Source organism: Homo sapiens, chromosome 15 (genome assembly GCF_000001405.40).
Source record: "Homo sapiens chromosome 15, GRCh38.p14 Primary Assembly".
In the NCBI taxonomy this organism is placed as follows: domain Eukaryota; kingdom Metazoa; phylum Chordata; class Mammalia; order Primates; family Hominidae; genus Homo; species Homo sapiens.
Genome location: NC_000015.10, coordinates 93736863 through 93761944, shown reverse-complemented (window position 1 = coordinate 93761944; position 25082 = coordinate 93736863). Strand labels below are relative to the sequence as shown.

The window sequence follows — 25082 nt, the reverse complement described above, 5'->3', positions numbered from 1 at the left end:
ATGCACATAAATACGCATTATGGTATTTACTATAAACCAACCTACCTCTCTCTCCACCATCTCTCCTGTTCTTCCTTCCTTCCTTCCTTTCCAGCCTGGCATTGTTCTAAAACTAGGAATACAGCATTGACCTAGAGATATCTGTTCCTTGCCTCATGAAACTTGCTTTATGGAGATTACAGGTGAGAGAGAAAATAAACAAGTAAATATGAGGAATGTCGTCCAGTGCTAGGTCAATCAGCTGAGAGATGGGTCTGCCCCTGTGGAGTTGGCATCTGGGCTTTTAAAGGATCAGGGCCTCACCCAGAAGCTGAGTTTCCTGCTTTACAGCTCCAGGGAGGCTCAATTGCTTGGAGACCTCGTGTGAGCTCTCCAGGCCTCTTCCTTTTCATCTCTTGCAGCTCCTCCTTTGAGGGAAGCTTCTCCCATGAAGGAAGAAGAGCCTGGAGAGGCTCCATGGACCCTTCCTCACCCTGCCCCACTATGGTCTTATTCTTTAAAAATTTAAAATTGTACACAAATAGAAACATATGATACACCTGGAGTTCTTTGCTGAATTCAAATCCCCTTTCGTGTTTGTGCATAATGTTACATATATCCTATAATGCCTCAAAGTATGATTTTTGATGCTTTTCTGTCTCAAATCATTGTGTCATTACATTTTAATCTCCAGGAGAGATTTAGACTCTCCAAGGAAAAAAGGGCACATAAAATGAGATAAGCCTCAGAACCCTGTGAGAGCTGCTATGTATGATTACCCCACAATACCAAAGTCTTCAGAGTAATGCAGCTAAGCCTTTATCAATTGCTTTTTCAGGTTTCTGCAGTTGGAGCGTAATCTCCCTGGAATGCTCTGAATCTTATCCTTCACGTGACCTTGTAAGAAACCAGAGTATGCACAGATTCAATATGGGAAGTGCTCAGCAACCTGTTTCAAAGCTCTCGGTAAAAGTTTGCAGGGATCAAAAGGAGTGGGTGACTTCAATTAAATCACCCTTGGAACCTGGTGTTATGTTCCTTAAGGATCAAGACATCTCAGCTGTTTTATTTTAAAAAAATGTATTTGGCATCTAACTAACAAGAGATAAAACCTGAGCAAGGAGACTCGCTCTCTGTCCCAACCTTGAGGCGTGGAGCCCAGTCTTTCAGATTATGTTCATCTAGGGCCATGCTGCATGGATTTTTACCCCAGTTGTGAGATCTTGGTGCAGTTACTATCTCAATTCTTCAGTTTCCACGTTGTAAAATGGGGTTGATAGCAGCATTCACCTGGGAGCACTGTCAGGAGAAAAGAAGAGGATTCACATAGTGAGCCTGCGCTGAGTCCACAGTAAGTCCATATTAAGTGCAAGCCTTCATACTTGTGATGAAAACATTTCCACTGCTCACAGAAATCATGTGCAGGGTTTGGGGTGAGGGAACAAGGAGGTTTTATGGGGAGAATAAGCTGGAAGTTGCATGCGATTAAAAACCTAAAAGTAATAATGTGGTGGCGAAAGAATTCTGGACCAGGAGTCAAGAGGTCTGGATTTAGTTCTGGCTCTGTATCCAATGAATTGTGTGACTTGGGCTGAACAAATACTTTCTGGGCACCTACCAATTGCCAGGTATTAGGATTCAGAGACCAATAAAACACTGTCCCTGTTTAACAGACATTCACAGACTTGTAGAAGAGAAAATTATGTGAACACAGTTATAAAACCCTGTGTGAACCACACCACAAAACAATTACAGAAAGGGGAATTCCTGTAATTTATATTCTCTGGAGGGTCAAAGAAGGCTTCCCAGAGGCAGGATTGAAGCAAGACTAGGAGTTAATAATGTGAGAACACAGTTGAGGAAGCTGAGTGAGACAGACTTGAGTTAAAAACTCAAACCAGCCTCTTGGAGTCAAGTAAAACTGGATAAGTTATTTACCCTGCTTTAGCCTCAGTTTCCTCCTCTGTGAACCACCTGTTTTGCTGGATTCTGAGAAGGATTAGAAATAATACATAAAAAGCATCCAGCCAGGATCATTCATGTTAGTTAAGTGTTATGCGCATGGTAAAACACACTTATATGTCCCTTTGCCCTCAAAAACCCTTTTCAGCCCTCACACTCTAAGCCTCTATGCATCAGACCCAAAGGAATGTTATGTTGTCACCTCCGGGTGCAGTTTTAAAGACTGCTATGAACTTTACTGGAACTGAAAGTTTAATGTGGAAAGTTTCACGAATGGTTGTTGGTTCAGGTAGAGAGCCTGAGTGAATAGAAACATGACTATATTTCTAAATTTCACCAGCTTTTCTGAGGGGCAAGGCAAAGGTTAGTCATTTATTCTGCCTTTTAGTTCTCTTTCATTTCTTGTGGGAAGCTGTTCCCAACTAACAAATTATCATTCATCCTATTCTCTCCTTTTTGATGGGCAAGACATACCACCCAACATTCTAAAACCAAAGGGAAAACATCTCTAGAGAAAATTTCATGCCTCTCACCGTACCCAAACCAAGAGAGACTTCCTTCCCTGGATTGAGAAGCCCGAATTGCAAACTGCAGTCTTATTCACAAACTTACTAGTTTGAGAACTCAACTGGATTGCAGAAATGAGCCCACATTCTACCATCAACTGTAAAGGAAGAAGGAAACTCAGAGATCAGAAACTCAGAGATCATTTAGCCCTTATTGTCCCTGCAAATGAGGAAACCCAGACTGTGACAGGTGCGGCAACTCACCAAGGTCCCAAGGCTAGCTTAGGAACAAAGTCAGGAAGAGAATTTTAATTCCAGACTCATAGACCAGTGCTCTTTTTCCCCTGCACAGTCAGTCTTTCCAAATAACCACCATGTTAATGTGCCTAGAAAACCCAAATGTAATCAAACACAGCCCTCAAATTGCATGTTTGGGAATCTTGATAAATACGATACTGACACAGCTGGAGAAAAGATGAAGATTAAAAGCATGCACAGGAGGTTAAGTCACGTGTTACATTCTAGCAAGATGCTTGCTATTTTTGATACCTTTCCATGGAGCCTGTGGAGATCATGGTATTTATGATTAGAAAAAATATTAACTATGAGAAAAGCTAAAGCATTTTGGGCTATTTTAAGAGGATAGTTATTTTCCTTAATTTCAATGTGAACATTAAAAAGGACATTAGGTAAAAACTAAAAAAAAAAAAATCTCAAGTATAAATTGTGTGACTTGGGCTGAACACATATTTTCTGGGCACCTACCAATTGCCAGGTATTTGTTCAGCCCAAGTCACACAATTGATCTCTGAACAATAAAACACTGTTCCTGTTCTACAGACATTCACAGACTTACAGAAAATTCTGTAAACACAGATATAAAGCCCTGTGTGCAATTCTTCTACATAGGAAATGTACCTACTTTTACCCATTTATTTATATTAGTATAAGGTATGAATTTTTCTTATACTCTGGGCTATATTTCAATACCACTTTATTTTGTTGCTCAAACCAGTCCAGATTTTGCCGTGGGGAGCTCATTCAGTTGACTTACAAAAGTCTTTTTTTACATACCCCCAAAATTATGTTTCTTCTTCTCCTTCTCCTGGTCCTTCTCCATCTCCTTCCTTCTTCCTTCTCCTTCCTCCTCCTTCTTTGTTTCTGTCCCTACTAGATGTTCTAGACTCATCTTGTATTATATTAGTACATGTCTTATTATAGGTACTAATATATAATTATATAATATATATGTACAATATATTAGTACATGTCTTAGTACATGCACTAAGTAGTATATTAGTACATGTACATGTAGTATATTGTACATGTAGTATATCAGTACATGTACATGTATATTGTACATGTAGTATAGTAGTATAATATACTATAGCATATAGTATAATATAGTATAATATACATTAGTATAATATACTACATGTACATGTAGTACATGTACATGTAGTATATTAGTATATGTCTTAGTACATGAATTTGCTATGTCTGGAAGAATCACTGGTCCTTTCACTGGAGAATAGTATTATAAACCAAGATCAGAGTATTAGGTGTATAATAAGTGGTGCATATATGCATATATATATATATATATATATATATATATATATATATATATATATACATATTTCCATAACCACTGTATCTCTGTTAAGCTAAACATGAGTTCATACTGAATGCTCCAATTCTAATTCTAACACAGTTCATTCTAGCCTGCTTCTTTTGCTTATTGGTAAACTGTCAGTGGAATGGTGAGAAACCCAGCTCCTACCATCTACAACCCATTTACTGAAATGTTCAATCCTAGGATACATTTATATACCAGTATCAAAATTGTTAACATCTATCCCTATGGAAAACAATTTATCAACTAGAGTACAGTGCTTATGCACAGTTTCATTTGCCTTTACTCTTACAGGTTTCACTCATTTTCAAAGTTATTTCGGTCAGCACCTGTTCTCCCACTACCCCCAGGGATATTGTTTCTCCAGCCTCACTGATGTTTATCTCAGTGAGGTTGTTGATTACACTTGTAATACAGTTAGATTCTTATGTTACTTTCTGAATTTAATCCTGGGATCCCTGGGCCTTCTACATGATTTATTTTTATGCTGCGTATATAAAGTTTCACTTCTTGTACTATAAATTTCTGTGGATTTTGACAGAAGTATTGGTGGCTTTATCACTCTACAAAATCTCTTGTGCTTCACCTATTCAACACTAGACCATGCACTGCTGAACTGAGAAAACCACTGATCTTGTAACTGCAGGAACGTGGATGGAGCTGGCAGACAACCTCAGCACACTGAAATTTTGCCTTTTCCAGATTGCCAAATAATTGAAACCATGGAACATGCAGCCTTTTCAAATTGGCTTCTTTCACTTAGCAATGTGCATTTAAGTTTCCTCCATGTGGCTTTTTGGGGAATGATTGCTTATTTTTTTAAATTACTGAATGCTACTACATTCTACAGGTATTTCAGTTTGTTCATTCATCTATTATATTAAAGATACTTTGGTTGTTTCCAGTTTGGGGCACATGAATAATGTTTCTATACATATTTATATACAGGTTTCTGTATGAGCATATGTTTTCTAGTCAGTTGGGTAAATACCAACGAGTGAGACACTAGATTGTATACTACAGTAATGACTCACATTATGAGAAAATGCCAAACTGTCTTTTTTTTCTTTTTTTTTTATTACACTTTAATTTTTAGGGTACATGTGCACAATGTGCAGGTTAGTTACATATGTATACATGTGCCATGTTGGTGTGCTGCACCCAGTAACTCGTCATTTAACATTAGGTATATCTCCAAATGCTATCCCTCCCCCGTCCTTCTACCCCCACAACAGGCCCCGGTGTGTGATGTTCCCCTTCCTATGTCCATGTGTTCTCATTGTTCAATCCTCACCTATGAATGAGAACATGCGGTGTTTGGTTTTTTGTCCTTGAGATAGTTTGCTGCGAATGATGGTTTCTAGCTTCATCCATGTCCCTACAAAGGACATGAACTCATCATTTTTTATGGCTGCATAGTATTCCATGGTATATATGTGCCACATTTTCTTAATCCAATCTATCATTGTTGGACATTTGGGTTGGTTCCAGGTCTTCGCTATTGTGAATAGTGCCACAGTAAACATACGTGTGCATGTGTCTTTATAGCAGTATGATTGATAATCCTTTGGGTATATACCCAGTAATGGGATTGCTGGGTCAAATGGTATTTCTGGTTCTAGATCCCTGAGGAATCACCACACTGACTTCCACAATTGTTGAACTAGTTTACAGTCTCACCAACAGTGTAAGTGTACCTATTTCTCCACATCCTCTCCAGCACCTGTTGTTTCCTGACTTTTTAATGATTCCCATTCTAACTGGTGTGAGATGGTATCTCATTGTGGTTTTGATTTGCATTTCTCTGATGGCCAGTAATGATGAGCATTTTTTCATGTGTCTATTGGCTGCATAAATGTCTTCTTTTGTGTCTGTTCATATCCTTCACCCACTTTTTGATGGGTTTGTTTTTTTCTTGTAAATTTGTTTGAGTTCATTGTAGATTCTGAATATTAGCCCTTTGTCAGCTGAGTAGATTGCAAAAATTTTCTCCCATTCTGTAGGTTGCCTGTTCACTCTGTTGGTAGTTGCTTTTGCTGTGCAGAAGCTCTTTAGTTTAATTAGATCCCATTTGTCAATTTTGGCTTTTGTTGCCATTGCTTTTGGTGTTTTAGACATGAAGTCCTTGTCCATGCCTATGTCCTGAATGGTATGCCTAGGTTTTCTTCTAGGGTTTTTATGGTTTTAGGTCTAACATTTAAGTCTTTAATCCATCTTGAATCGATTTTTGTATAGTGTGTAAGGAAGGGAACCAGTTTCAGCTTTCTACATATGGCTAGTCAGTTTTCCCAGCACCATTTATTAAATAGGGAATCCTTTCCCCATTGCTTGTTTTTGTCACGTTTGTCAAAGATCAGATGGTTGTAGATATGTGGCATTATTTCTGAGGGCTCTGTTCTGTTCCATTGGTCTATATCTCTATTTTGGTACCAGTACCATGCTGTTTTGGTTACTGTAGCCTTGTAGTAGAGTTTGAAATCAGGTAGAGTGATGCCTCCAGCTTTGTTCTTTTGGCTTAGGATTGACTTGGCAATGCAGGCTGTTTTTTGATTCCATATGAACTTTAAAGTAGTTTTTTCCAATTCTGTGAAGAAAGTCATTGGCAGCTTGCTGGGGGTGGCATTGAATCTATAAATTACCTTGGGCAGTATGGCCAATTTCATGATATTGATTCTTCCTACCCATGAGCATGGAATGTTCTTCCATTTGTTTGTATCCTCTTTTATTTCACTGAGCAGTGGTTTGTAGTTCTCCTTGAAGAGGTCCTGCTAGCAAGACTAATAAAGAAGAAAATAGAGAAGAATCAAATAGATGCAATAAAAAATGATAAAGGGGATATCACCACCAATCCCACAGAAATACAAACTACCATCAGAGAATACTATAAACACCTCTAGGCAAATAAACTGGAAAATCTAGAAGAAATGGATAAATTCCTCGACACATACACCCTCCCAAGACTAAACCAGGAAGAAGTTGAATCTCTGAATAGACCAATAACAGGAGCTGAAATTGAGGCAATATTCAATAGCTTACCAACCAAAAAAAGTCCAGGACCAGATGGATTCACAGCCGAATTCTACCAGAGGTACAAGGAGGAGTTGGTACCATTCCTTCTGAAACTATTCCAATCAATAGAGAAAGAGGGAATCCTCCCTAACTCATTTTATGAGACCAGCATCATCGTGATACCAAAGCCTGGCAGAGACTCAACAAAAAAGAGAATTTTAGACCAATATCCCTGATGAACAGCAATGCAAAAATCCTCAGTAAAATACTGGCAAACCGAATCCAGCAGCACATCAAAAAGCTTATCCACCATGATCAAGTGGGCTTTATCCCTGGGATGCAAGGCTGGTTCAACATATGCAAATCAATAAATGTAATCCAGCATATAAACAGAACCAAAGACAAAAACCATATGATTATCTCAATAGATGCAGAAAAGGCCTTTGACAAAATTCAACAACCCTTCATGCTAAAAACTCTCAATAAACTATGTATTGATGGGTCGTATCTCAAAATAATAAGAGCTATCTATGACAAACCCACAGCCAATATCATACTGAATGGGCAAAAACTGGAAGCATTCCCTTTGAAAACTGGCACAAGATAGGGATGCCCTCGCTCACCACTCCTATTCAACATAGTGTTGGAAGTTCTGGCCAGGGCAATCAGGCAAGAGAAGGAAATAAAGGGTATTCAATTAGGAAAAGAGGAAGTCAAATTGTCCATTTGCAGATAACATGATTGTATATCTAGAAAACCCCATCATCTCAGCCCCAAAATCTCCTTAAGCTGATAGGCAACTTCAGCAAAGTCTCAGGATACAAAATCAATGTGCAAAAATCACAAGCATCCTTATACACCAATAACAGACAAACAGAGAGCCAAATCATGAGTGAACTCCCATTCACAATTGCTTCAAAGAGAATAAAATACCTAGGAATCCAACTTACAAGGGATGTGAAGGACCTCTTCAAGGAGAACTACAAACCAAACTGTCTTTCAAAATGGCTATGCCATTTTGCACTCCTAGCAGCAATTAATACTTCCTTTTGCTTTGTGTCCTCTACCTTATTTGGCTTTATCAGTTTTTTCTATGTTAGCCAGTCTATTAATAATAGATATATAGTAAATAAGTTACTATTGTTTTAACTTGCAATTCCCTAATAAATGATAATTTGTGGTATTAATTTATAGATTAATTTCATTATTTTCTGAGAATTTGGTATCATTTCTACTTTTAAAATACTTTGTGTGCTTTATGCCTAGATTGGGTCTACTGGGTGAAGGTTCCATGAAAGCTTGAGAAGAATATGTATTTTGTTGTCAGATGGAATAGTCTATACATGTCAATTTGATAAAGTTGTATAATAGCACTGTTCAGGTTAACTATATCCTTACTGTTTTTCTGACTGCTTGAGCTATCAGTTACTGAAAAAGGAGTTATGAAATCTCCAGCTATAATAAGAAATTTTTCTGTTACTCCTCACCAATCTCAGTTTTTGCCTTATATATTTAGATTCTCTGTTGTTAGATGCATACATGTTTAGAACTATTTCCCGTTCTTGGAAAGTTAGTCCCTTTATCATTATGCAATGCCCCTCTTTATTTCTGTTAATTTTTCTGGTTCAGAAGTTTGCTTTGTCTGAAATTAACACAGCTACTCTGGCTTTTTTTTAAACTTAGTTTTAGCATGGTGTGTGTGTGTATATATATATATATATATAAAATTTACATATGTTATATATGTTACATATATAACATAATTTATATATGTAACATATATAACATAATTTATATACGTAATTTATATATATAATTTATATTATATATAATTTATATATTATGTATAAGTTTTTTTGTGTTTTCAGTAGAGACAGGGTTTCACCGTGTTAGCCAGGATGGTCTCGATCACTGACCTCGTGATCCGCCCACCTCAGCCTCCCAAAGTGCTGGGATTACAGGCGTTAGCCACCACGCCCAGCCAGCATCATGTATCTTTACCATGATATATCTTTCTACACCCCTTTTTTTTTAATCTTCAACTTTTAAGTTCAAGAGTACATGTGCAGGATGTGCAGGTTTGTTACATAGGTAAATGTGTGCCATGATGGTTTGCTGCACGGATTATCCCATCACCTATGTATTAAGCCCAGCATCTATAAACTATTCTTCCTAATGCTCTGCCTCCCTGGCCCCATGACAAGCCCCAGTATGTGTTGTTCCCCACGTCCCCCCTTCCCCCAGTGTGTCCACATGTTCCCATCATTGAGCTCCCATTTATAAGTGAGAACATGCAGTTTTTGGTTTTCTGTTCCTGCATTAGTTTGCTGAGGATAGTGGCATCTGAAAGCTCCATCCATGTCCCTGCAAAGGACATGATCTCATTCTATTTTATGGCTGCATAGTATTCCATGGTGTAAATGTACATTTTCTTTATCCAGTCTATCACTGATGGACATTTGGGTTGATTCTAAGTCTTTGCTATCATGAACAGTGCTGTAATGAACATATGCATGCATCTTTATAATAAAATGATTTATATTCCTTTGGGTATATACCCAGTAATGGGATTGCTGGGTCAAATGGTATTTCCACCTCCAGATCTTTGAGGAGTTGCCACACTGTCTTCCACAGTGGGTTGAACTCCCACCAACAGTGTAATAGCCTTCCTTTTTCTCTGCAACATCACAAGCATCTGCTGTTTTTTGACTTTTTAGTAACTGCCATTCTGACTAGCATAAGATGGTATCTCATTGTGGTTTTGATGTGCATTTTTTTAATGATCAGTGATGTTGAGCTTTTTTCATATATTTGTTGTCCACAAGTATGTCGTCTTTTGAGAAGTATCTGTTCACATCCTTTGCCCACTTTTTAATGGGGTTGTTTGTTTTGTTCCTGTCAATTTGTTTAAGTTCCTTGTAGACTCTCAGTATCAGACCTTTCTCAGATAGATAGATTGCAAAAAAAAAAAGTCTCCTATTCTGTAGGTTATCGGTTCATTCTTATGACAGTTTCTTTTTCTGTGCAGAAGCTCTTTAATTAGATCCCAATTGTCAATTTTTCCTTTTGTTGCAACTGCTTTTGTCATTTTTGTCATGAAATTTTTGCCTGTATCTATGTTCTGAATCATATTGCCAAGATTTTCTTCTAGGGTTTTTATAGTTTGGGGTTTCACATTTGTCTTTAATCCATCTTGAGGTAATTTTTGTATATGGTGTAAGGAAGGGGTCTAGTTTTAATCTTCTGCATATGGCTTGCCAGATATCGCATAACCATTTATTAAATAGGGAATCCTTTTGCCATTGCTTTTTTTGGTCAGGTTTGTCAAAGACCAGATGGTTACAGGTGTGAGTGGTTACTTCTGAGTTCTCTATTCTGTTTCATTGTTCTATGTGTCTGTTCTTGTACCAGTACATGCTGTTTTAGTTACTGTAGTCTTTTAGTATAGTTTAAAGTCAGGTAGCCTATCTCCAGGTTTGTCCTTTTTACTTAGGATTCCCTTGGCTATTAGGGCTCTTTTTAAGTTTCATACGAATTTAAAATTTTTTTTTCTAATTATGTGTAGTATTAGAAAGTATGTCAGTGGTAGTATAATAGCATTGAACCGATAAATTGCTTTAGGCAATATGGCTATTGTCACAATATTGATTCTTCCTATCCATAAGCATGTAATATTTTTCCATTTGTGTCATCACTGATTTCTTTGAGCAGTGTTTTGTAGTTTCCCTTAAAGATGTCCTTCACTTCCCTTGTTAGTTGTATTCCTAAGTATTTTATTCTCTTTGAAGCAATTGTGAATTGGACTTCATTCATGATTTGGATTTCTACTTGCCTGTTTTAGGTATATAGAAATGCTGGCAATTTTTGCACATTGATTTTTTATGCTGACACTTTGCTGAGGTTGCTTATCAGCTTAAGAAGCTTTTGGGCAGAGATGATGGAGTTTTCTAGATATAGGATCATGTCATCTGCAAACAGGGATATTTTGACTTTCTCTCTTCCTATCTGGATGCCTTTTATTTCTTTCTCTTACCTGGTTGTCCTGCCCAGAACTTCCAATACTGTGTTTAATAGGAGTGGTGAGAGAGGGCATCCTTGTCTTGTGCCAGTTTTCAAGGGGGAATGCTTCCAGCTTTGGCCCATTCAGTATGATACTGGCTATGGGTTTGCCATATATGGCTCTTATTATTTTGAGGTATGTGTCCTCCATACCTAGTTCATTGAGAGTTTTTAACATGAAGAGATGTTGAATTTTATCGAAGGCCTTTTCTGCATCTATTGAGATAATCATGTGGTTTTTATCTTTAGTTCTATTTATGAGATGAATAAAATTTATTGATTTGCATATGTTGAATCAACTTTGCATCCTGAAAATGAAGTCAACTTGATCATGTTAGATAAACTTTTTGATGTGCTGCTGCATTCAGTTTGCCAGTATTTTACTGAGAATTTTTGGTTCAATTTTCATCAGGGATATTGGCTTAAAGTTTTCTGTTGTTGTATCTCTGCCAGGTTTTGGTATCAAGATGATGCTGGCCTCATAGAATGAGTTAGGGAGGAGTCCTTCCTTCTCAGTTATTTGGAATAAATTCAGTAGAAATGGTACCAGCTATTCTTTGTACCTCTGGTAGAATTCAGCTGTGCATCCATTTGGTCCTGGGCTTTTTTTTGGTTGGTGGGCTGTTTATCACTGCCTATATTTTAGAACTCATTATTGGTCTATTTGGTTTCTTCCTGGTTCAGTCTTGGGACAGTGTATGTGTCCAAGAATTTATCCATTTAGTCTACATTTTTTAGTTTATGTTCATAGATGTGTTTGTAGTATTCTCCGATGGTTGGTTTATTTCTGCGGGGTCAGTGGTGATATCGCCCTTATCATTTCTGATTGTGTTTATTTCAGTCTTCTCTCATTTCTTCTTTATTAGTCTAAGCTAGCAGTCTATCTAATTTATGTATTTTTTTTATAAACCAACCCCTGGATTCTTTGATTTTTTTGAAGGGTTTTTTGTGTCTCTATCTCCTTCAATTCAGTTCTAATCTTGGTTATTTCTTGTCTTCTGCTAGCTTTGGTTTTTGTTTGCTCTTGGTTCTCTAGTTCTTTTAGTTGTGACGTTAGGTTGTTAACTTGAGATCTTTCTAGATTTTTGATGTGGGCATGTAGTGCTATAAATTTCCTTCTCAAAACCACTTTATAATCAAAGAGATTCTGTTACATTGTCTTTTGGTTCCTATTAGTTTCAAATAACTTCTTGATTTCTACCTGAATTTCATTATTTGCCCAGAATTCATTCAGTAGAAGGTTGTTCAATTTGCATGCAGTTGTGTGGTTTTGAATGAATTTATCTTGAGTTATAATTTGATTGCTCTGTGTTCTTAGAGACTGTCAGTTATGACTTCAGTTCTTTTACACTTGCTGAGAATGTTTTACTTCTGATTATGTGATCAATTTTAGAGTAAGTGCCATGTGGAATGAGAAGAATGTGTATTCTGTTGTTTCTGGGTGAAGAGTTCTGTAGGTATCTGTCAGGTCCACTCAATCCAGAGCTGAGTTCAGGTCCTGAATGTCTTTGCTAATTTTCTGTCTCCAATGATCTAATATGGTCAGTTGGGTGATCGAAGTTTCCCATTATTACTATGTGGGAGTCTAAGGCTCTTTGTAGGTCTCTAAGAACTTGCTTTATGAATCTGGCTGCTCCTGTATTGGGTGCATGTTTAGTTCAGACAGTTAGCTGTTCTTGTTGAATTGAACTTTTACCATTATGTAATGCCCTTGTCTTTTTAAATCTTTGTTGGCTTAAACTTTGTTTTATCAGAAACCAGAATTGCAATCCCTGTTTTCCACTTGCTTGGTAATTTTCTTCCATCCCTTTATTTTCAGCCTATGTGTGTCTTCACATGTGAGAGAGGTCTCTTGAATACAGCACACTGATGGGTCTTTACTCTTTATCCAGCTTGCCATTCTGTGTCTTTTAATTGAGGTCTTTATCCCATTTACATTTAAGGTTAATATTGTTATGTGTGTATTTGATCCTGTCATCATGGTGCTAGCTGGTTATTTTGCAGACTTGTTTTTGTAGGTGCTTCATAGTGTCACTGGTCTGTGTAATTCAGTGTGTTTTTGTAGTGGCTGGTAATGGTTTTTCCTTTCCATATTTAGTGCTTCCTTTAGAAGCCCTTGCAAGATATGCCTGAATTCCCTCAGCATTTGCTTGCCTGGAAAGGATTTATCTCTCCTTTGCTTATGAAGCTTAGTTTGGCCAGATATAAAATTTTGGGTTGAAAATTATTTTCTTTAAGAATGTGAAATATTGATCCCCAATCTCTTCTGGCTTGTAGGGTTTCCACTGAGAAGTCCACTATTAGTCTGATGGGCTTCCCTTTGTAGGTGACCTGGCCTTTCTCTCTAGCTTCCCTTAACATTTTTTTCTTTCATTATGACCTTGGAGAATCTGTTGATTCTGTGTCCTGGGGCTCATCTTCTCATGGAGTATCTTACTGGGGTTCTTTGAATTTCCTGAATTTGAATGTTGGCCTGACTTTCCAGGTTAAGGAAGTTCTCCTGGATGATATCCTGAAGTATGTTTTCCAGCTTGGTTCCATTCTCTCCATCACTTTCAGGTACCCCAAACAGTCATAGGTTTGGTCTTTTCACATAATACCATATTTCTCAGAGGTTTTGTTCATCATTATTTATTCTTTTTTCTCTATTCTTGTCTGCCTGTCTTGTTTAAGATAGTCTTCAAGCTCTGAGATTCTTTCCTTCACTTAGTCTATTCTTCAATTCATACTTTTGTGATTGCATTGTGAAGTTCTCTTGTCGTGTTTTTCAGCTCCATCAGGTCAGTTATGTTCCTCTCCAAACTTGCTATTCGGCATATCAGTTCCTCTAATGTTTGTTGTATCATGATTCTTAGCTTCTTTGTATTGGGTTACAACATGCATTGGGTTACAACATACAAGTTCATTATTACCCACATTCTGAAATCTATTTCTGTCAATTCAGCCATCTCAGTCTCAGCCCAGTTCTGTGCCCTTGCTGGAAAGGTGTTGCAGCCATTTAGAGGAGACGAGGCACTCTGGCTTTTTGAGTTTTCAGCATTTTTGCATAGATTTTTTTCTAATCTTTGTGATCTTATCTACCTTCAATCTTTGAGGTTGCTAACCTTTGAATAGGGTCTTTGTAGGGTCTTCTTTGTTGATGTTTGTTTTTTAACAGGCCACTGACTGTTAGCAACAATATGGTTACTATGGTTTTCTGGGGGTCTGCTCCAAACCCCAGTTGCCTCAGCTTTTCTCGTACCTGGAGGTATCACCAGTGAAGGCTGTGAAACAGCAAAGATGACAGTCTACTCCTTCCTCTGGAAGCTCTGTTCCAGTGGATACTGACCTGTTGCTGGTCTGAACACTCCTTTGGGTGGTGTCTGGAAACACCCCTGTTGGGATATGTCACCCAGTCTGAAGGAACGGGATCAGGGACCCACTTACAGAAGCTGTCTGGCTGTTTTTTGGTAGAACATGTGTGCTGCATTTGGGGGAACCCTTCCTTGTCTGGACAGCCCAGATTCTCCAGAGCCAGAAGGCTGGAACAGTCGAGTCAACTGAACCACAGAGATGGCAGCCATCCCTCCCCCAGGAGCTGCTTCCCAGGGCAAGTTCTGTCCATGTAAGCCTGGCCGGAGTGACTGAAGGCCCCCTGCAGGGAGGCCCCACCCAGTGAGGAGGAATTGTCTGGGGACCCACTTTAAAAATAAGTCTGGGCCAAATCTGGCAAAGCAGGTGTTCTGTGTTGGGGGAGGACCCTCCTTTTCTGGACTGCCTGGACTCCCCAGAACCAGCAGGCTGGTATACTGAGTCAATGAAACCACAGAAATTTCAGCTGCCCCTGCCTCCAGAAACTCTCCCACCAATTCAGGCAGACTCAACCTGCTGCCACTGGGTCCTAACCTGTAAGGTACCATGGAAGTGGGGCCCGCAGAATGACATTGCTTGGCTCCCTGGATTCAGCCCCCTTCCTAGGGAAATGTATGGATGGATCTTCCACCTCACTGGGGATCCTGGGGCCAGAGTATATAAAACTCCTGGGTCTCTGTGTGTGCCTGAGTGGCTGCTCACAGCTCTGTGCATAGGACCCAAGGCCCAGGTAGCGTGGGCTCAGGAGAGGATCTCCAGATCCATGGGAGAAGCATGGTTTCCCAGGGGGAATCACAGTCACTCACTGCCTCCCTTGGCTAGGGGTGGGGGTTCCTTTGGCTCCATGTTGCTCCGAGGTGTAGGCCATTGCCCCACCCTGCTTTTGTTTGCTCTCCCTGGGTGGAGCACTGCCTAGTTAGCCCCAGTGGGAGCAGAGGTTGCAGTGAGTGGAGATCATGGCATTGCACTCCAGCCTGGGCAAGAAGAACAAAACTCTGTATCAAAAAAGAAAAAAAAAAAAAAAAAACCCTGAGTACTTCAGTTGAAGGTGCCAAATTCACTTTTCACTTACTGCTCTCATTCCTCTTCATGAGTGCCACAGACTGCAACTGCCACTCACCCCTTTACTTTGAACATATCATCAGTGTCTTTATAGTTAAAGTGGGTTTCTTTTGTACACAACATGTAACTGAATCTTATTTTTTTATTCACTCTGAAAATCTGAGTCTGGTGCTTTTAGATGATTCACATTTTAAGTGATTATTGATACATTTGCATTAATATCTACCACGTTTGGCACTTTTCTATTAGTGATTATTTGTTCTTTGTTTTTCCCCGATTTACTGCCTTCTCTGATTTTACTTGAGCATTTAATATAATTCCATTTTATCTCTCCTTTTCCATATCTATTACACTTAAAAAATAGTGGTTACCCTAGTAGTTACACTATACATTTTATAACACTATATTACTTAACATATAGTATAGATATTTTATAACAAAGTATTCTTGATTCTTCTTTACTATCTCCTATGACACTGCTATAATTATTGTCACAATATTCTATATCCACCAAATACATCATTATTATTACTTCAAAAAGCAATTAACTTTTAAATCAATTAAAAATAAATCTCCTGAGGTTTGCTGTCTTAAGAATTCGTTCTATGTCCCTTCCCTTGAATTATTCATTTTGTTTTGTATAATAAACTTCGTTATCTCTTATTTCCAAGACCAGTTATGCTCTTTACCTTCTTTCACACGCTCAGTAACTTTGTTTGCTTGCTTTTTTGTTTTATAAGTCTTGAGTCTTCTCTAACCCCGGACATAATTTCCATGACCCAAAGCCCTAAACTAGTCCAGTCCAACCTGAAGTTAAGCAAAATCCTAAGATCCTTCCAAAAAAATTCTTAAAAGAAAGAAGATTAGAAGATTGGAAGAAGCCTGAACAAATGGTAATTTTCTAGTAAATTGCCTTCATTTAATGTATTTACTGTTAATTTAAATGTGTTAATATCTAAAAAGTGGTTTAAAAAATATAGGTAACAGTAAATTATTGGAGAGTTTACAAATTTCAACTGCCACTTGGATTCAGGGCAAATCAAAAATGTTCTGAAGCCTTCCCTGTTTTCTCCGTATGCATAATGACTACCATAATTCAACTTTCTGGCAGAACTGAATGCAGGATATGTGCTCAGTGAACATCAAAAGAATTATATGATTTAGTACTACTAGGCGGTCAATAAATATTTTGGATTATAAATCACTGAAACCGAAATCACTGAAACCTGGTAGATGACCAAACAATTATGAGAAATTAGGCTTCACCATAATTTAAGAATGCTGATCTTTGAATAGCACCATTAAGAAAATGAAAGACAAGACAAAGACTGGGTGAAAATATTTGCAAAACATATATCTGATAAAGATCCCTTAAATTAAAAGACTTTTCACCAAAAAATACATATGAGTCTCAAGCATGTAAAAAATGCTCAACATTAAGGGAAATGAAAATTAAAAAAGATGATGAAATATCACACCTACTAGAAAGGTTCAAATTAAAAAGATTCATAATATCAATACTGGTGAAGAAAAACAACAAGAACCCTTAAATATTGCTGGCGAGATGTGAAATAGTACAGTTGCTCTGAAAAAAAATTTGACGAATGTTCAAAGTAGTTTTAATCGTAAGAGCTAAAAACTGAAAATAATGCAAATATTCATCAATTGCCAAGGTTCAAACAAACTGTGGTATATTCACACAATTATATATGACTTTTAGCAATGAAAAGGGGAAAATTACTGATGCAAGCAAGATGGCTAAATCTTAAAATGTTTTGCTAGATGAAAGAAAATAGATAAAAAGGCCATATTCTGTATGGTTCTTCTATTTATGTGATCTTCTGGAAAAGGCAAAACTATAAGGGCAGAGATTCAATCATTTCAAGAGTTGGAGTGGAGGCAGTAAATTGATTTCAAAGGGGTATGGGGGAAATTTGATGGGACTATTCTGTATCTTGAGTGTGATTATGAGTGCACAACTATATACATTTCTCAAAACTCAATGAACTGTATACTTTAAAAAGGCAAATTTTACTTGTATAAATTATGACTTAATAAACCTGACTTGAAAAAGCCACACAGATAAATGTAATGCATTAGAAATAAAATAGACTTAGGTATCAAACATAATTGAGTGTGATTTCCAGCTTTTTTGTTTATGATGACCTTTGTGATTTAATCTTTGTTTATGACCGTTGTGATTTAATCATCTATTCATTGTACATCCATCCATTCAATCAAAATGCAAAAATATTCTAAATGATGAGGATGGTTAATTAGGACAGAGGAAATCATTGCCTCAGGATCCAGTATATTTGAACTGAGGCCCAAATAATAAAAAGGAGCAACATAGGGGCCATCTGGAAAAGACATTCTGGGGAAAGCAGAGGGAAAAAGTGAGAACCAGCATAGCATGTTTGAAAGTTGTATAGGGCACCAATGTGGCTGTAATATATAGTGAATGAGCTAAGAAGTAGGAGGAGGTGAGATCACAAAAGTGGGCAGTTACCAGACCATCATTGCATCTAGGGCTTCTGATAAGTTGTTGTTTTATTCTGAGAGCAATGATAAGTCACCAAAATATTTTAAGCAAGATAGTCACAAAGACATATTCAAAAATATGTTTTAAAAATGGACCATTCTAGCCAATGTATAGAAAACTGCCTGTGGCAGGTAGGCAAGACTTATGGTAAGAAATGGAAGTTAATGAATTGGACATGGTGAATAGAAATTAGAGAGGAACTCTTAGGATACTTTACTGAATCTACTGGAATCTTTTTGTTTTGTTTCTCTTAATTTTGAAAAGTGGGCCTAGTAATATATATTTCACAGATTTATTGAGACAGTTACCAGGAACAAATATGAGTAAAGCACTAATCATAGAATCCACAACAGATTAGGTACCCAGAAATTATTCACTAATTTTTTCTCCATCAATATTTTATGGATATGTGCTGGGCACAGTGGCTCATGCCTGTAACCCTAGGACTTTGGGAGGCTGAGGCAGGAGTGTCACCTGAGGTCAGGAGTTCAAGACCAGCCTGGCCAACATGGTGAAACCCTGTCTCTACTAAAAATACAAAAATTAGCAGGGCGTGGTGGCACCTGCCTGTAATCCCAGCTACTCAGGAGGCTGAGGCAGGAGAATCACTGGCACCCAAGAGACAGAGGCTGCAGGGAGCCGAGATCATGCCACTGCACTCCAGCACTCCAGCCTGGGTAACAGAGCAAGACTCTGTCTCAAAAAATATGTATTTTTTATTTTATGGATATGAATACCAGTATATTTCTCTGTCCCCCAAAAAGCAACAGAATCCCTACTGCTTTATTCACTGTCAAATATCAGATTATCTTGCCTTAGATCTAAATATCATCCAATTTGAAACAACCAAATAATAGGTGACAGAAATTAAAGATTAGCTTCTGGGTAGATGCTTTGAAAGGGCAAATATTCTTTGTATTGGTTCAGAAACGAAGGTCTTGTTTTTAGGAGATAAGGGTTATCTCATACAGCCCCACTTTTCACTTAAGACTTGTTAAAATATAACTGCTCCTCTAATATCTAATTCTTCCATGGAAAATATTGGTAAGTTAAACTTGGTACATGCGGAAAATAGTAACTAAATATTATCATTGTATCATGTAGTAGATATTCCCCTGAGAACACTTCACTTTTTAAAAAATATAAACCTTTATGCTTTCTAAAATTTATTTTAATTCCACAGAACCATAACCAGGTTCTGGTAATGTGATTTTCTGTGTAATAGCCTTATGATCATAATCAAGGACTTACCAATTTCTCCCCGACATGCTTGATTTACTCCCTAAATTTTCTGAAGCAACAGATGTCTTCAGTAATTTTCTACATATTTATTTATTTATGACTTCAATCCTGGTTCAATTTATAGGCTATTTTTGAGGGTCGGTAAAATGCTCCTCTAGGATGCCTACATCAATAAAACCTCAGGTACAAAATGGATATAATAAATGTTATATTACTTGAGTTGATGAAGAAAAAGCAAACTCGAAGACAGATTTATAAAGATTATGCCATCTGAAAAAAATGCAAAGAATAAAAAATGAACTGAGAATCAGAGAAATGGGATGGCATTAATCACACCAATGTACATGTAAAGAGAGTTGCAGGAGGGGAAGAAAGGAAAAAGCAGAAAAGAGATTTTAAAAGATAATGGCTGAAAATGTCTAAATCTGCTTCAAAAAGTATTACTCTGTAAATCCAAAAAGCTCAAACTCTAAGATAAATGTAAAAATATCTACACCCTGACACATTATAAAAGTATTGAAAGTCAAAGACAAGGAACAAATCTTGAAAAAAGCAAGAGAAAAATGATGAGGTTCACAAACGAGGGAGTTCATATACAAGGCAACTCCATCCAATAAGATGAACACCTGACTTTAACAATGCAGGTCAAAAGACAGATGACATAGCCAAAGTACTCAAGAAAATGAAAAACTCCCAACCAAGAATATTATTTACAGCAAAATAATATTTTTAAAATATTAAAACCAAATAAAGACATTCTGGGATAAATTAAAAACTAAGAAAATGCATCAGGGAGAGTGGCCAAGATGGCTGACCGGAAGCAGCAAATGTGTGTGACTCTCACGGAGAGGAGCAGAAGGGAAAAGTAAATACAGAACCTTCCACTGAAACATCCATGTACTCACATTGGGACTAATGAAGGAAACGACTTCACCCACAGAGAACAGGGGAAAGCAAGGCAGGATAACGGCCCACCCAGGACCAACATGGAGTGAAAGGAAGCTCATCTGCCCAGAGAAGAGGTGAGTGAATGTTCAACCCCAGGAACCCATGCTTCTGCCACGGATTTTTGCAACCCTTTGGGCAGGAGATCTCCTTGTGAACCCACTCCACCAAGGCCTTCAGTCTGACACACAGAGAGCTACATGGTGTCTCAGCAGAGCAGCTGCTCAGACATGCAAGGAGACCCAGGAGCTTTAGATACTCCAGATTTCCAGGTGCCCTGGCAAAATAGCTGCGACTCCAGTAAAGTGCAAGATTAGACCCCTGTACATACCCCTAGAAAGAGGTTGAATCCAGGGGGCCCAGGAGTGACGGTCTGCGGGCCCCACTTCCACAGCACCTCACAGGATAAGACCCACTGGCTTAGAATTCTAGCCAGCAGTTGATAGTAGTGTGCTTCCCTGTGATGGAGCTCCAGCGGGAGAGGCAGGCTGCCATCTCTACTGTTGGGGCATCTTAGCTGTTATGGCCTTCAGGCTTTGAAGAGTCCAAGTGAGGGCAGAAGGGATCCCTCAGAACAGTACAGCTGCTCTCCCAAAATGTGGCCAGACTACTTCTTTAAGTGGGTCCCTGATCCCATTCCTCCTCACTGAGCAGGACTCCCAACCAGGGCCTCCAGCCACCTGTGCTGGTGTTCTCCAGCCAACAGACTTGAAAACTCCCTGGGACAGAATTCTTAGAGGGAGACGTGGGCTGCATCTTTGGCGGCTGGGTGACTTAGCTGTTCCAGCCTTTGGGCTTTGGAGAGCCCAGGCCAACTGGAGGTGGAAGCGGTACCCCAGCACAACACAGCTGCCCTACAAAATGGTGACCCAACTGCTTTTTTAAGTGGGTCCCCAATCCTGATCCTCATCCCTGGCTGAAGCCTCTCGACTAGGGTCTCAGGCTACCCCCACCAGTGTTCTCCAGCTGATAGAGGTTTCAGGCCTCCCTGGGACAAAGATCCCAAGGAGAGGGACAGGCCACCATCTCTGCTGTTTGGGTGACTTAGCCATTCTACCCATGGGGCTTCAGAGGGTTCAAGGCAACCTGGGGCTGAAGTGGACCCCCCGCATGGCACATCTGCTCTATGGAAACATGGCCAGACTACATTTTTTTTTTCAGATGGAGTCTTACTCTGTCACCCACGGTGGAGTGCAGTGGCATGATCTCAGCTTACTGCAACCTCTGCCTCCCAGGTTCAAGTGATTCTCCTGCCTTAGCCACCTGAGTAGCTGGAATTACAGACACCTGCCACCACACCTAATTTGTAGGGTTTTTTTGTTGTTTTTTTTTTGTTTGTTTGTTTGTTTTTAGTAGAGACAAGGTTTCACTCTGTTGGCCAGGGTGGTCTTGAACTCCTGACCTCAAGTGATCCACCTTCCTTGGCCTCCCAAAGTGCTGGGATTACAGGCATGAGCCACTGCACCCAGCCAGACTACCTTTTAAAGCAAGTCTCTGATCTTGTTTCTCCTAGCTAGGCAAGACTTCCCAACCAGGTCTTCAGCTATCTCCTAGCTAAAGTGCATTTGGACAAGCAACAGGCCCATACCTCCCTGGGATGGAGCTCCCATAGGGAAGGACAGGCTGCCATCTTTGCTGTTTTGCAGGCTTCACTGGTGATACCTCCAGGTACTGGAAAATCCAAGGTGACTAGGGTCTGGAGCAGATCTCCAGCATACCATAGCAGCTGATGTGGTTTGGCTGTGTACCCACACAAATCTCAACTTGAATTTTATCTCCCAGAATTCCCACGTGTTGTGGGAGGGACCCAGGAGGAGGAATTGAATCATGGGGGCCACTCTTTCCCAGGCTATTCTCATGAAAGTAAGTCTCATGAGATCTGATGGGTTTATCAGGGGTTTCCACTTTTGCTTCTTCCTTATTTTCTCTTGCCACCACCGTGTAAGAAGTGCCTTTCACCTCATGCCATGATTCTGATGCCTCCCCAGCCATGTGGAACTGTAAATCCAACTGAACCCTTTTTTTCTTCCCAGTCTCAGATATGTCTTTATCAGCAGCATGAAAACAGACTAATACAGCAGCCCTATGGAAAAGTGGCCAGATTGTTAAAAGAAAAAAAAATCCAAAAGTCAGCAACCTCAAAGATTGAAGGCAAGTAAGCCCACAAAGATGAGAAAGAATCAGCACAAGACTGCTGAAAAAAAACCAGACTACCTTCTTTCCTCAAAATGACCACATCAACTCTCTAGCAAGGGTTCAGAACCAGCTTGAGGCTGAGATGGCTAAACTGACAGAAGTAGAATTCAGAATATAGATAGAAACATAGTTCACTGAGTTACAGGAGCACATTGTAACCAATGCAGGGAAGATAAAAGTCATGACAAAACATTGCAGGAGCTGACAAAATGGCCAGTAAGAAGAAGAACATAACCTGATAGAGCTGAAAAACACACTACAAGAATTTCATAATATAATCACAAGTATTCATAACAAAATAGACCTGGCAGAGGAAATAATCTTAGAGCTTGAAGACTGGCTTTCTGAAATAAGAAGGCAGAGAAGAGAGAAAAAATAATGAAAATGAATGAATAAAACTTCTGAGAAATATGGGATTATGTCAAGAGACTAAATCTACGACTAACTGGTATACCTGAAAGAGATGGGGAGAATGGAACCAACTTAGAAAACATATTTCAGGATATCATCCATGAGAACTTCCCCAACCTACCTAGAGATGCCAACATTTAAATTCAGGAGATGCAGGGAATCCCAGTAAGATACTCCACGATAAATTATCCAAAGACGAAATGAAAGAAAAAATATCAAAGGCAAATAGAGAGAAAGGCCAGGTTGCTTACAAAGTGAAGCCCATCAGACTGACAATGGGCCTCTCAGCTGAAACCCTACAAGCTAGAAGAGATTGGGGGACAATAGTCAACATTCTTAAAAAAGAAATTCCAACCCAGAATTCCAGATCCAGCCTAACTAAGCTTCATAAGTGAATGCTGAAGAAATTTGTTACCACCAGACCTGCCTTACAAGAACTCCTTAAGGAAGCACTAAATATGGAAAGAAAAGACTATTATCAGCCACTAAGAAAACACACTGAACTACACAACCCAGTGATACTATAAAGCAACCACATAAACAAGTATGCAAAATAACCAGCTAACATCATGATGACAGGATCAAATCCACACATATAAATACTAATCTTAAATGAAAATGGGTTAATATCACAATTAAAAGACACAGAGTGATAAGCTGAGTAAAGAACCAACCTATTGGTATGCTGTCTTCAAGAGACCCATCTCAGAGGCAACAAAACACAGGCTGAAAATAAAGGGATGGAGAAAAATCTACCAAGCAAATGGAAAACAGAAAAAAGCAGGGGTTAAAATTCTAGTTTCTGCCAAAACAGACTTTAAACCAACAAAGATTAAAAAAAGACAAAGAAGGGCATTACATAATGGTAAAAGGTTCAATTCAACCAGAAATATAACTATCTATCTTAAATATATATGCACCCAATAGAAGAGCACCCGGATTCACAAAGCAAGTTCTTAGAGACTTCAAAGAGATTTAGACTTCCTCACAATAATAGTGGGAGACTTTAACACCCAACTGACAATATTAGACAGATCACCAAGACACAAAGTTAACAAGGATATTCAGGACCTGAATTCAGCACTGAATCAAATTGACCTGATAGATATTTTCAGAACTCTCTATCCCAAAACAATTGAAAATATATTATTCTGATTGCACATGGCACATACTCTGAAATCAATCACATAATCTGATGTCAAACACTCCTCAGCAAATGCAAAAGAATTGAAATCATAACAGACCACAGGGCAATCAAATTAGAAATCAAGACTAAGAAATTCATTCAAAACCATATAATTACATGGAAATTAAATAATGTGCTCCTGAATTACTTTTGGGTAAACAAGGCAGAAATCAAGAAGTGTTTTGAAACTAATGAGAACAAAGATACAACATACCAGAATCTCTGGGACACAGCTAAGGCAGTGATAAAAGAGAAATGTATAGCACTAAATCCCCACATCAAAAAGTTAGAAAAATCTCAAGTTAACTACCTAATATCACAACTAAAAGAACTAGAGAACCAAGAGCAAACAAATCCCAAAGCCAACAGAAGACAAGAAATAACCAAAATCAGAGCTGAACTGAAGGAGATAGAGACATGAAAAACCATTCAAAAGATCATTGAACCCAGGAGCTGTTTGTTTGTTTTTTTTTTTTGAAAAAAAATAGACCACTAGCTAGACTAATAAAAAGAGAAAAGATTCAAATAAACACAATCAGAAATGACTAGGGGAATATTACCACTTACCCCACAGAAATACAAGTAACCATCAGAGAAAATTATGAACCCTCTGTGCACATAAACCAGAAAATCTAGAAGAAATGGATAAATTCCTGGACATATACACCATCCCAAGACTTAACCGGGAAGAAACTGAATCCCTGAAGAAACCATTAATGAGCTCTGAAATTGAAAAAGTAATCAATACCTTACCAACCAAAAAAAAAAAAAAAAAATACAACCCAGGACCAAATGGAGTCACAGCTGAATTCCTGAATTCTACCAGATGCACAAAGAAGAGCCAGTACCATTCCTACTGAAAATATTCCAGAAGATTGAGGAGGAGGGACCCCTCCCTAACTCATTCTATGAGGTGAACATCATCCTGACACCAAAACCTGGCAGATACACAAGAAAAAAAGGAAACTTCAGATCAATATCATCGATGCCCAAAAC

At 38.6% G+C, this 25082-nt stretch overlaps 1 long non-coding RNA gene across 1 annotated transcript in view; it reads right to left on the bottom strand.

Annotated features, from left to right (window-relative positions):
• Positions 1-1042: 1042 nt before the first annotated feature.
• Positions 1043-25082, bottom strand: part of LOC107983974 (uncharacterized) — a 207567-nt gene continuing 183527 nt past the window's right edge. The window contains exon 6 of the long non-coding RNA XR_001751681.2: positions 1043-1278. This is a non-coding gene — a long non-coding RNA (uncharacterized LOC107983974). The remainder of the gene's footprint in view (positions 1279-25082) is intronic.